Below are 13,624 nucleotides of genomic sequence, written 5' to 3' on the forward strand. Positions count from 1 at the left end.
AACAACAAACAAAAAAACAAAAGAAAAATGTAATTTCATTATAACATTACCTTACAAATGAGACTGGATGTCTTCTCATTCTCTTATCTATGGTGTATCCTTTTACTGACATGATGAAATAAAGAAGGCTAGAAAGTTACAGACCTGTGCATATTATCTTTAGAGATGGTAGAAAGATGAGGCTGTTCTTGCCTCATGGGATCTAATTTTTGTATGAATTATTGGGCAAGATACCAGGTAAAAGCCACATGAGTAAAGGTTCAAAGGACATGGAGAAGATTGTTAGAGATGTTGGGTTTCTGAGGAAAGGGTTTTATCAGCCAAATGTGAACTTAGTAAGTTCTGGACAGTGTTTATGGCCAATCTGGTGTGTAGCTAGTTTTGAATTTGTGTTGATACCACCTGGCTACTTTTCTACATTGTATCTGGCTCAGCTGAGTGACATCATTGAAGAAACATAGTGTGGGGCTCATCCAAGTATGGGATTGTGCCAGAAAAAGCACAGCAGTAAATCAGGGAGTTAAAGGTACTCATAAGAAAGTGACTCTCTCAAGTGGGTGAAGTGAAGAAGACCAGCTGTGTTTTTTGTGTTTGGTATTTGGGGAAAGGACGTGTGTGTTTTGATGGGTCAGTGTGTCATTTGTTTATTCTTTTGAGAGATCAAATAATGGGGTTGATGGATTATGGTTCTGGACAAGGTGGAAGAACTCTTAAAGTAGAAGTATTTGTGCAAGTGATTTGACAGGATAGGATGGTGCAGTCAGTCTGTTTACCCAGAAATCAAGAGAATCTGCAGTAGATCAGGATGGGGATGGTGTCACACACCTGTAGTCCCAGCCTGTAGTCCCAGATACTGGGGAGGCCGAAGTGGAGAATCCCTTGAGGCCAGCAGTTTGAGGCCGTAGTGTGCAAGGATCGTGCCTGTGAATAGCTGCTGCACTCCAGCCTGGGCAACAGGGTGAAAACACGGCTATAAAAATGTACATACATAATAGCTCAGACTCAGGTCTTTTAAAAAAAAAAGATAGAAAAAGGAAGTCCTCATAGCAACTGGTAGCTTAGTGGTAACAGAATTGTCCCAGAATAGGGACTCCTCTGCCTTTAGCCCAGTCAGCTATTGTTCTGGCATGGTCCCTGCCCCACCCCAGCCCCATGTCCACACCCACATCTCTTCTGCCCTCAGGCAGAGTCACAGTGGAAAGGCCCATGAAGACGGGTATATAGGAGTGCAGTCCCAGAATGAGTCTCATCTCAGCCTCAAATATCTTGCCACTGTGTCCACTTTGCCCAAGACATCAATTCAATGCTATGCCTGTATGATTTCCTGAGGACAAGGGGCCTAGTTCGGTCCTTAAAATGAAACCCCTTGCCTTTCTCCCCGGATCCACTGGCCAGGTCGATGCATTCAAATACACTTGATTCAACTGTTTATTCCAATGCAGAAAGCTTTTCAGAAGTTGGAGCTTTTGACATGGCCTTGAGCTTCTTTTCATTAAAGGGCTTCTTCAACACATCCACTGTTACATTGTGACTTCCAAACTGAAGGAGCATGTCTGAGACACTGGTCCATCTGAGGCAAACATAAGTCTCTATTTTTTTAACCAAGGAAACCCCACTAAACCATTTGTCAGTTATTGGCTTGGAGGCTGATGTCTCACTTTATGTCATCCTTGGGCATAGCTGAGTGAAGGGGGTTGCTACACAGATTATGTTGGTGTCTTTGAGCTCATATTTCAAAAGAAGGAGTAATGAGGATCAAGGCCTAGCAATGGGTGGCTGTAACCTACCAACCCTGGGTTATGGGCAAACCCCCTCCCATTGTGGAGGATTTTGTGTGTGTGTGTGTGTGTGAGAGACAGTCTCTCTCTGTCACCCAGGCTGGAGTGCAGTGGTGCAATCTTGGCTCACTACAACTTCTGCCTCCCGGGTTCAAGTGATTCTCCTGCCTCAGCCTCCTGAGTAGCTTGGATTATAGACGTGCACCAGCATGCCCAGCTAATTTTTGTATTTTTAATAGAGACAGGGTTTTGCTATGTTAGCCAGACTTGTCTCGAACTCCTGACCTCAGGTGACCTGCTTGCCTCGGCCTCCCAAAGTCCTGGGATTACAGGCGTGAGCCACCCCACCTGGCCCCATTGTGCAAGTTTTTATCATTCATCTTTAAGGTCCATTCTGCTGCCCGTTTCCCAGGAGAAATCTTCAGTCTAATTCCACATATCCGTGGCCAAGGCCTGTTGGAAGTTGAAACCATCTTTGTAGAATTATAAGTCATGAGATCAATCTAACATAACTGACTCCATCTTGCTTCTAACCTCACAGGTTAAATCTTTTTTTGCTTATTCTATCATGGAGGCCAAGATAACCATGAGAAGAATTTACTGTATAGTTAAACTTTGAAGCAAAGAAAGCTGACCTCCTCCTCATTCAGAGATCGAAGATGCATTTACAAGACAAGATGAGAATTATGGTAGGGTGTGAAGTTTGTAAAGAACAGGGATGGTTAAACCGTGCCTGCCATTGCTTAGCTTGTTTTCTATAAGTTATTTCCTGCCCCAGGGTCATGTAACTGGGGGTCACCAGATTTGTGATTTCCCCAACCACGCCTATAGATAACATCACAGTTGTGAGACCTAAAGGACTGGTCTTTGAGATACTTTTCTGATTTAGGGTTTCAGCAGACCAAGAGATGCCACCTGGTCCTAAGACCCCCTCCCAGGAACTGACTTTGCGGAGACAGTTTTAGACACCTCCATGATTTCATCCCCAGCTGAAAAAGTACAGATGCTCCTATGACTTGTGTAAGTTTCTGGGTGCAGCCTCAAACCTTGGCTCAATAAACCTCTGCTGAGGAGTCCCTCGCCTCAGTCATTTTTGTTGGGAACATGTGCTAATCTACCCTTATTTTTCTCCATAAAACTTATTACCTCCTGATATGCTCCATTCTATATTTAATTGTACTGTGGAGTTTCATCCTTTTCTCCCTAAAATGTCAGCCACATGAAGACAGGGACTTCCTTTGTCTTCATTACTCTGTCTGTGATGCAAAGGCATTTCTGGTGATGCTGTCTCTGTCGTTGATCTCATGTGACTCCCCCACCCCTTCCAGTTATTTGCAGTGTCATTTGCTGCTTCCCTTCCACTGTGACACTGACAAGTTTGTGCTCATTGCCTAACGGGGAGACATAACTGGTGACTAAATGTATGAATGATAGGAACCCTGGCTTAATTTTGGGGGAGAGAAGCCCCCTGTAGCTTTTTTTAGCTTTCCACTAAAAAGTGTTTTTGATGAATTTGAGACGGGTTGAGGAGTAGCAACGTGGAGTTCTCCAGTGTTGTCCCAGGGGATCTATTACTCATCAAAAATCTCTCCCTACATTACTCATGTAGTAAAAGAAAACAATTTCTGTGGAACTTGTCAATTTTTTTAGAAAATATCCATGATTATATAAAAATATGAATATATGAATATTAAATTATAACAATTTCTATCTAAGCATACCAGTTAACTCTATCCCCCCTCAAAAAAGCTATTTTTTTTTTGAGACTGAGTGGAGTCTTGCTCTGTTGCCCAGGCTAGAGTGCAGTGGCAAGATCTCAGCTCACTGCAAACTCTGCCTCCTGGGTTCAACCGATTCTCCTGCCTCAGCCTCCCAAGTAGCTGGGATTACAGACATGCGCCACCACACCCGGCTAACTTTTGTATATTTAGTACAGACGGGGTTTCACCATGTAGGCCAGGCTGGTCTCAACCTCCTGACCTGAAGTGATCCACCCGCCTCAGCCTCCCAAAGTGCTGGAATTACAGGCGTGAGCCACTGCGCCCAGCCTTCTTTTGTTTTTTAATGTATACATACTTAAGCAAAAAATGTGGCTTTAATTTATGACATAACTATTGGGAATATAACTCTAGAAAAAAATATTGCTAGAGAGTACTGAAAATCTTTACTGATAAAGTGCATATATTTTCAAAGTATAATTAGTATGTAGAGAATAAAATATCAGTTATTCACTTACAATAACATATGAATGATACAGTGAATTGTTTTGAGAAATGTAGTTTGATAGTGTTTCAATTAGAAGAAAAGATGAAGCGCTCAAGTACAGTCGTTCTTCCACTGCACAAGGAAATCTGAACTTTTTGTGAAGAGAAAGTAATGTAACCAAGTCCAACACGACCTCATTCTGCTCCTGCCCACCAGCCAATATGTCAGGAGACAAGGAGTTGGGGCAAGGAAGGTGACTTTAGTTTGAAGATCCAGAAAATGAAGAAGATGGTGGACTAATGTTCTAAAGAAGCAGGTTAAGTTAGTACAAATGTCAGGGTCTTTTTATGTAAAGGGCTGGCAAAGGGGAGGGGGTTGAGATCCAGAGGGGGCTAAGGACCACAGACACCTGGGAGCCAGCGAGGGTCTGAGGAGGTTGGGAACTTCCTTGTCCTTGGCCAGGTCACAATGTTCCTGTAAATCTCCACCAAAACATAGTTGTTTATATACTTCCCCTTTAACCTCAGAGTTAGTTTCAAAAACTATATGATTGCTGCTTTTCATTTTATCTCAGTGCTGTAAAATTATCCTCACCTATGTGCAGGAAAAGAAGAAGGTGCCTTAAATGGAAATGAAGTTAGTTATGTGAATTATTTTGCTGTTTCACTGTTACATTAAGTCCCATATTTCTTGGTGTGTTTCAGAATCTCCAATATTATTTTAATGTATAAGAATCAACTATGAAGGAGCTGACTGCTGTGTCCACTGCTGTGTCCAGCATGCGACAGTGGAGGAATTCCGGCCCAGCAGAAAGCTCCCCTAGATCCACTGGCCTTAGTGACCCTCAGATGCAGCTGATGTCAGTGAACACAGCCTGGCAGATTGGGAGTCATTGGTGGAGAGGAGGGAACAATGCTGCTTTAAGGTCCAGGCTCACTGCTGGGGAAGAAGTCAGCAGGGCTCAGCTCAGGTTATTTCTCCACTGTGGCATAAACAGGAGACTGAAAAAACAGAGTAGTGCTTTCCATGCCTTTATTAATGACTTTTCTCCTGGGTAGCCTCAGGCATACCCTTCAGCAGCACAGTGAGTTGAAAGGGCCTCCGCTGGGCATGGTGGCTCATGCCTGTACTTTGGGAAGTGGAGGTGGGCGGTTCACAAGGTCAGGAGTTCAAGACCAGCCTGGCCAACATGGATAAACCCCATCTCTACTAAAAATACAAAAAATTAGCCATGCATGGTGGCAGGTGCCTGTAATCCCAGCTACTCGGGAGGCTGAGGCAGGAGAATTACTTGAACCCGGGGCATAGGTTGCAGTGAGCCATGATCATGCCACTGCCCTCCAGCATGGGTGACAGAGTGAGACTTTATCTCAAACAAACAAACAAAAAAAGGTCTCTTTTGGAACATCTTTTTATTTTGAAAAATGATATATCAAAATTAAATTTGTTTTACTGTTGATTTTATTATAAAGTTGGAATCTCAGAAAATGTGCAAAAAGTGCATACATGAAAGGGGGGAACCTCTGTAAATCCTGGCAGATACAGGTCACCTGGTGGAAACACTGGGGTCCGGCACTGTGCTCTTGTCTTTTCACCTGCATTTGTGGCCCTGCGGGGAGATTCTCAGGACTAGCATTGCTACGTGCTTCTTTTCTGTATTTTATTTATTTATTTAATTATTTGAGGCAGAGTCTCGCTCTGTCGCCCAGGCTGGAGTGCAGTGGCACAATCTCGGTTTACTGCAACCTCCGCCTCCCGGGTTCAAGAAATTCTCCTGCCTTAGCCTCCTGGGTAGCTGAAATTACAGGCACGTGCCACCATGCCCGGCTAATTTTTTTAAAATGTATTTTTAGTAGAGACAGGGTTCCACCATGCTGGCCAGGTTGGTCTCAAACTTCTAACCTCGTGATCTGCCTGCCTCAGCCTCCCAAAGTGTTGAGATTACAGGTGTGAGCCACCGCACACAGCCCCTTTTCTGTGTTTTAAATGTTAATAGATATTGTCTGGTTGCCAACTCCTAAATGTGAAAACACTTTATAATCCTAATATGGAATGTATTAGAATTCTGTCCTTATTCATCATCACGTTAAATATTTATTCATTTAAATTTTTATCAGTCTAAGCAGTTTAAATGAGATATGTTTTCCCTGGTTCACCATTGTTGAAATGCCTTTCCTTTTCATGCTAAAGAAAAATTGATATTTCTCTATATCGATGCCTATATATCTACGCATGTCTATAGAGATATATCTAACTGAGCACTTCTCCAAGATTAATATAATTGTGCTACACCTGTTTTCAAAGGTTTAGGATCATAAAATAAATTTTTTCAAAAGCAATTCCTTTCTAAAGTATTTTATTTAACCTATATAACATACTAAGAAGTAAAATTTATGGTTTAATTTTCTTATGGAACACCAGATATTGCTGCATTATTTCTTTTTTTCATATATGTATATATGACAGGAAAGAAAACATAAGAGTAATTATTTTTAAATACTTATAATGTGAAACGCATATGGGACACATCCGTGGAAAAGATATAAATTGGAGATAAACAAATCACAGGATTAAAACGGGTCATTAATGATGGACAAGGGACTGGATATAATATTTAATCATATGACTAATTATAAGTTCAAAATAAAACACAACTCCGAGCCAGGGATAGATTCCAGTGTGGGGGGGATTTAACTTCAGTGAGAAGAGGATCTTTTATTTCAGAAATGGGGCTGGGCGCAGTGGCTCACACCTGTAACCCCAGCACTTTGAAAGGTCAAGGCGGGAGCATCGCTTGAGCCCAGGAGTTTGAGACCAGCCTGGGTAACATAAGGAGACCCCATCCCTACAAAAAATAAAATAAAAAATAATTAGCCAGGCGTGGTGGCGGGTGCCTGTAATCCCAGCTACTCAGGAGGCTGTGGCAGGAGAATCGCTTGAACCTGGGAGGCGGAGGTTGCAGTGAGTGAGCCGAGATCGCGCCACTGCACTGCAGCCTGGGCGACAGGGTGAGACCCTGTCAAAATAAACAAACAAAAAACCTACAAGACAATCCACAGAATTGGAGAGAATATTTTTTGAAAAGCTCGTTAAGTTTAAAACTCTAAGTGTGGAATAAACAAAGTCGGGCAAGCGCGGACAGGCGCCGGCGGACTGGAAGGGAACTCGAGCCGGCGTCCTCGGGGCTGTGAACGGGCCTGGCGGAGCCTCCAGCAGCCCAGCGCGCTCCGCAGTCAGCGGCGCCGGGCGTCTGAGAACCCGGCAGAGGCTCCGGCGCGGCGGGGACACGCCTGGAGTCCCGAGAGTGAAGAACCAAGAAGGGGCCCGGAGCCAGGACGCCGGGAGGAGCAGGGTAAGAGCGCGTGGTCTGGCGGGTCAGGGCCTGATCCGGAGCGCCGAGGTTCCCAGGACGGCGGCAGCCTTGCCACAGCCCGCAGCAGCCGGGGGCCTAGGCCTGGGTGGCCGCCGGGAGCCGCAGCCCCGCTCCCCAGGCAGCGCGGCCCCTCGCGACTGCAGCGCCGCCGGCAGGACCGCGCTCCCTCAGGACCGGGCTGACCAGCAGCGGATCCGCGTGGCGGGAAGTGCAGGCCGGGGGCGCACGGGAGACCCAGGGACGGCGGCCGAGAGCGTGGAGGCCTCGAAGCCCGGGCGCCCCATCGGCCCTCAGCGCCTCTGTTCTTTAAACCCTGCCACATCCTGAGACCCTGTCCCTGCTCCGGCTGCTTTTGCCGACGGAAGCCGTCTCCTGCCGCCTCCGAGCTCCTTCCCGGGAGGCTTCTCCTTGGCCTTGGCCGACAGCTTGGGTGTCTCTCCTGATGGAGGGGCCTGGGCCTCTCGGGGGCTGGAACGGGAGACACGCCCCGGCCTCGACGCCTCCCTTCTCCCCTCACATCCTCCCGCCCAGCTTCTCACACACCCGCACCTCCCGTGGTTGGGGGAGGCGGAGACTCCAGGACCCCCAGGCAGGGGCTTCACGCAGTCCCCACAGTGGGAGCCACTCCTTGTCCCTGGGATGAGGGCGGGGCTCCGCCTTGTGTAGGAACCGGTGCGAGGGGCCCTGCCTCTCTTTCTCAAAGAGGGGGCTGCTGTTCCACCGGGGTCTCCCTCTCCACCTTCTCCCTCCTCCAGGGCGACGATAGGAGCGGGGCGAACGCTCCCTCCCCTCCCCGTGCGTTCCTAGCATCCAGTGATTCTGCCTCTTGCCCACGCAGGCCTGCAGTGAACAAAGGGCGCCCCAGGAAGCACGATTTGGGTCAAATTCGCCTTTCTTAATTGTAGGACAGCCGCAGGAAGGAGGAGAACGGGGAGTTCTCCCCTGCAGCTCCCCCAACTCCAGGGATCTGCGTTAGGTGGGCCGCCCCTCCCTGCTCCTGCTGGGAAGATGCCATGGGCCTTCCATGGCCTCCTCTCCCCAGCTCAATGCCAAGTGGACTTGCAAATGCACAAAGCCGGCAGGGACCACTATGTCTCCAAGACCTGGCGTGCAGAGGCAGGAGCATGAGCGTCTGCGGGTGTCTGACACGCGAGTGTGAGAGATGGGGCAGGCGGCATGTCCGCAGGTGTCTCTGGGCCTGTGTGCAGTTGGGGGTTTGTGGGCCTGTGCAGAGCCCTCTTCCCCTGATAATTTCCTCAAAACCCACAGTGAGAGGAGAGGGCCCTGGGGGAAGAGAAGTTCCTTCCCTTGTCTTTGAAATGAATTCCTCCTTCCCGAATCTCTGAGTGGAGAAAGCCCAGCCATCTGCCTTTGCAGTGTGCAGAGCAGAAGGTAAGGGGCTGGTGTAGCCTAGGTGGGGGCCGCCCTTGAGTCTGCAGCTCACTGTGGGTAAGGGCTGGGGGAAGGCTCTGTCACTCCAGGCTTATTTTCTTCTCCCATCTGTGTCTGGGGCTGCAGAATAGGGTACCAGAAGGACCCCGTTTCACCCACGTTGTGTGTATCTCACCATGGGGGCTCTCCCTGCAGGTCTCCCCCTCACATAAAGCCCCTTTGAAACAAGAAAGAGGGTCCCCGGGCTACAAAACTGAAAGCACAGCCTCCAGGATGTGAAGGGGAATGATGGTGCTGTGTTCAAGTTCCTTCTCTCTGCTGGTTGGTGGCTGTGACAACTCTGGCCTGACTTTATTCATCTCTGGTTTTTCTTGCCACCCTTCTGTCTCCCTCCCATCTTCACCCTGAGTCCAAACGGGCTCTCCTGTTGACCTCCTGTCCCTTTGCACAATTGTAACCCGCAGGCGAGGGACAGGGCCTGTTCAGTCATTAGTCATCATGAGTGTTTTGTCAACTGTTTATTAATGTATTTGGGGATATTTGCTCCAAATCAGAGGTTGAGGAAATGACTAAATAACGGCAAGGAGCCCCTGCCTGACCAATCCTTTTCCTTTTGGCCCCAGCTTAGGTGGAAGTGGGTAGAGTATCTTATATTGGGCAGTTTGGGGGCTGGGGAGGCAGAGAATCTCTTGGGGAAGTGATCTTGGGAGTCTTGGGGGTGGTGCTGGTGCATTCTGTTTCCTCTTGCTCTCAAAGTACAATGTGGATTTGGGGACCAAAGGTCAGGGACACATCCCATTAGAAGACCTGCATTTGGGAGAATGGTGAGTGGTGGGAGGAGGGCCCAGAGCAGCAGGAAGCAGCCTGTCATAGCTCAGCTTAGTTTCCCTTCCCAGACAAGGGGAGCCAGCCATGGAATCTTGCTGCAGGGCCTCCTCCTCCTACTCTTTCTGTCCTCAAAGTAGGGGCCATTTTCTTACACATCCCCAGAGAGAGGAGGGACCTTCACACTGGTGCTGAGGGGCCCAGGGCTGCTGGGCATCTTTGTTCCTTACCAGAGCCATCCATCCCTAGAAAAGCACAGAGCCCTGAAGGCTGGCCTGGGCCTCTGGTCTTCTCTACAGTTCCCAGAGGTCTTTCAGCCAGTCTACTCCCAGGAAGGAAGATGCCTGGAAGCTACAACGTGAATATAACTTTTGTGGACCAATAATAAAACGCAGGGAGCCCAAGGGTGAGAAGAGTGAACTGTCCCAACACTGCTTCCTGTTTCCTCCCCTTCATGTTCCTCCAGGGAAATCTACTTTATTGCTGAATTTCTGCCTTTCCCCCCTCACATATGCACTTTTGGGCCTTTTCTTGTAGCTGGAAAAATCAAAATCCCACCCCACAAACCAGTATTTAAAAAGAAACAGAAATGACCATGTGAAATGTGCCTCTGTGCACATCATCGGGGTGTGTGTGTGTGTGTGTGTGTGTGTGTGTGTAGCCACTCATTCATCTCTTTATATGGGGTATTGTCTTATTTCAGCCTGTTTTGATTTCCCCCTTGAGGGCTTTGCTCGGGATCAAACCTTTCTGTCCTGTTATGATTCTGAACACTTGATTTGAACCACAAGTGAATCTTTCTCCTGGTGACCCAAATAAAAATATAATTTAAAAATAAAAAATAAAGTATAATACAACTAGTATATAGGGAATAAGATAGAAATTGTTTACTTAAAAGATTAATATATAAATAATATTTAAAAGCATTGTCTTGAGAAATAGTTTGATAATCTTTCCATTTGAATAAAAGATGAGACTGTCATGTACAGCATCTCTTTCACTGCTAATAGAAAAGAATGCAAACTTTCTGTGAAGAGAAGTAAACACCACATCAAAGAAAAGATAGATGTGTTACTAATTCAAGGCTACATGGAGATTTTGTTGTTTTTGTTTTTGTTTTTTTCTGAGATGGAGTTTCGCTTTTGTTGCCCAGGCTGGAGTGCAATGGCTTGATCTTGGCTCACCGCAACCTCTACCTCCCGGGTTCAAGTGATTCCCCTACCTCAGCCTCCCGAGAAGCTGGGATTACAGGCATGCACCACCATGCCCGTCTAATTTTTTGTATTTTTAGTAGAGATGGGGTTTCCCCATGTTGGTCAGGCTGGTCTCAAACTCCCGACTTCAGATGATCCACCTGCCTCGGCCTCCCAAAGTGCTGGGATTACAGGCGTGAGCCACTGTGCCTGGCCAGATTTTTTTTAAAAAATACAATTCAGTCAGTCCTCATTGAAATATAAACAACTGGAAATGTAATGCTAAACTCATTTAAAACTGATTTTTAAAAAAATGTCTCTTTATATTTTTAAGATTTAGGGGCTGGGAGCGGTGGCTCACACCTGTAGTCCCACCACTTTGGGAGGCCGAGTCAGGTAGATCATGAGGTCAGGAGTTCAAGGCCAGCCTGGCCAAGATGGTGAACTCCCGTCTCTACTAAAAAATACAAAAAAAAAAAAAAAATTAGCTGGGCATGGTGGCGGGCACCTGTAATCCTCGCTACTGGGGAGGCTGAAGCAGAGAATTGCTTGAACCTGGGAGGCAAGGGTTCCAGTGAGCCGAGATCATGCCACTGCACTCTAGAAACAAAAAACAAAAACAGAAACAAAAAAACCCAAAATGATTTAGGTATACTTTCAAATCTATTTTAATTTAAAAAAGCTATGAAAAGATTTACATGGCCATTACTTATATTGTTTAAAAAACTTTAAAATTAGACCATATAAGCTATGGATTTGTACCTAAATTTAGAATATAAGTATGCAAAATTACTGTAGATTATTTATTTATTTATTTTTGCTTACCCTACCTGGACTGAGACTGTAGATACTTTATTTAGTGAATATAGAATATGCCAATAAGAAAACCAAGTCATCCTAGGCAGATTTGATGGCTGATGCCTGTAATCCCAGCACTTTGGGAGGCCGAGGTGGGCAGACTGCTGGAGCCCAGGAGTTCGGGACCAGCCTGGGCAAGACAGCAAAACCTCATCTCTACAAAATTTACAAAAAGCTGGATATGGTGGTGCATGCGTGTAGCCACAGCTACTTGGGAAACTGAGGTTGGAGGACCCTTGACCCTGGGAAGTCGAGGCTGCAGTGAGCTGTGATCTCCCTCCTGCACTCCAGCCTGGGTGACAGAGTGAGACTCTGTCTCAAAAAAAGAAATATCGTCATCTAAAACATCAAAGATTAAATGAGAGGACTACATTCACTGAGTACATTATTCTATACCCTTGTAAATGTCTCATAAGTAAATTAACTTAGAAAAATATGTTCTATCAGATGACATTTTGATGATTTATGATGACAACATTCACGAAATGGATTTCCACACAGTTTCTCCCTGATGGACTCAAAAGTGTTCTCTGTGGAAGACACTGAGCCAGACCAAGAAGCATCCAGGCCCGTCAGAAACATGGCAGACAGAGCAAGAGGGAGGACAGTGTAGAGGTCAGAGCCCAGGCGGGATACAGCACAATGCCACCGCCATGGGCTTCCGGGAAGGAGTGCCAAACGGGTGACTTGGCCAGAAAGGCCAGCGTTGGAGTGACAGAGATCCTTGCCACATCCCGTTCTCGACTTCTTCTCCAAGCCTGTGTCGCGGTGGGGCTCCATTTCTCAATGGGAAGAGAGGGCGGGAGGAGTTAGAACCATCTTCTTGGAGGTCGGTCTGCACCTCTCCTGCAGAAGAACAATGAGCTCCGCTGATGCTTTTTTAAATACTATCCTTGGGTGTGGTGAGACCGTCTTGATCCTAGAAAAGAGGCCTCTCAGGATGGGGAGTAGATTTCAACCCCTGCGGGTCCATCGCAGCTACCCGCATTGCCAAGGCCTTCACAAACCCAAACTGGAACCGCCGGGAAAAAGACCAACAACTGGTCAGACGTCCCAGGCAGAGACACAGAAAGAGTCTCACCAAATACAGACCGACATGCAAGAAACAGCCCTCCAGCGCACAGGGCACATTCATCCCAAAACACACACGCACATGGGCACACACAGCCACAGAGGGAGAGAGGAGAGAGAGAGGAAGGAGTGAAAGAAAGACATACACACACACAGACATACAGCAGCGGCACAGAAACACCCAACCCCAGGTAGCCCTTGAGGCTGCCGGGTTCTGCTCTCCGCGAGAACGACAATCGGGTAAGAGAGCAGCCCACGGGCATACTGCAGGCCTGTCCTGTAGATCAGAGGGGGCGCGAGTTGCGGGGAGACTTGCCCACACACCGTCTGGGCAGGCTGAGGCTGGGATCCCGCGCTGCTCTCCTGGGACTCCGCCTGAAGTTTCTTCATCCTGGTCGGCCCTCCGCGACTCCTGGCGTCCGGAGACCATCCCTCTCGAGCTCCTGGAGACGTCAGGGTGGAGTCGCGACACCGACGCACTGCCACGAAGGGGTCCTGCTTTGCCACGCCTCAGGGACCCATCACCAGGCGGACCGTGAAAGTCTCTGTGACTCAAGAATCAGCTCAGGCCTCGCGCATGCGCATTGGCTGCGCCGACTTAAGCTCTGCTCCTGTAAGTCAGGCTGGGGCCTCTTTAAAAAATGGCGGTGGCCTGGCAGTAGCAGCAAGACTGCAATGGCTAGGGTCGGGGAAGCGGGTGGGGGGGCGGGTAGAGGGAGGTGTGGGAGAGTGGGCTGCAAGCAACCCAGAGCCAGACATTCCCCTAGGAGTCCTGTCCTCCTTGAGCTGTCTAGGATAATACATGTAATTATGAATTTATATCAGACTTGACAAGCCCCTTCATTTTATTTTTAATATGATTGTTTCTCTTGAATAATACATGAAAATTATTTTTATTAATTTTCTATAAATTATTGGGGTACAGGTGG

The 13,624-nt window shown here is 47.4% G+C and overlaps 1 long non-coding RNA gene across 1 annotated transcript; it reads right to left on the minus strand.

The window, feature by feature from the left end:
• Positions 1-12,000: 12,000 nt before the first annotated feature.
• LINC02184 (long intergenic non-protein coding RNA 2184) lies at positions 12,001-13,256 on the minus strand. Its single transcript, XR_110136.5, has 2 exons — positions 13,020-13,256; positions 12,001-12,470 (listed from the first exon to the last, which is right to left on the minus strand). It is a non-coding gene; the product is annotated as a long intergenic non-protein coding RNA 2184 (long non-coding RNA).
• Positions 13,257-13,624: the final 368 nt, after the last annotated feature.

The sequence above is a fragment of the Homo sapiens genome, chromosome 16 (assembly GCF_000001405.40).
Source record: "Homo sapiens chromosome 16, GRCh38.p14 Primary Assembly".
Lineage (NCBI taxonomy): Eukaryota > Metazoa > Chordata > Mammalia > Primates > Hominidae > Homo > Homo sapiens.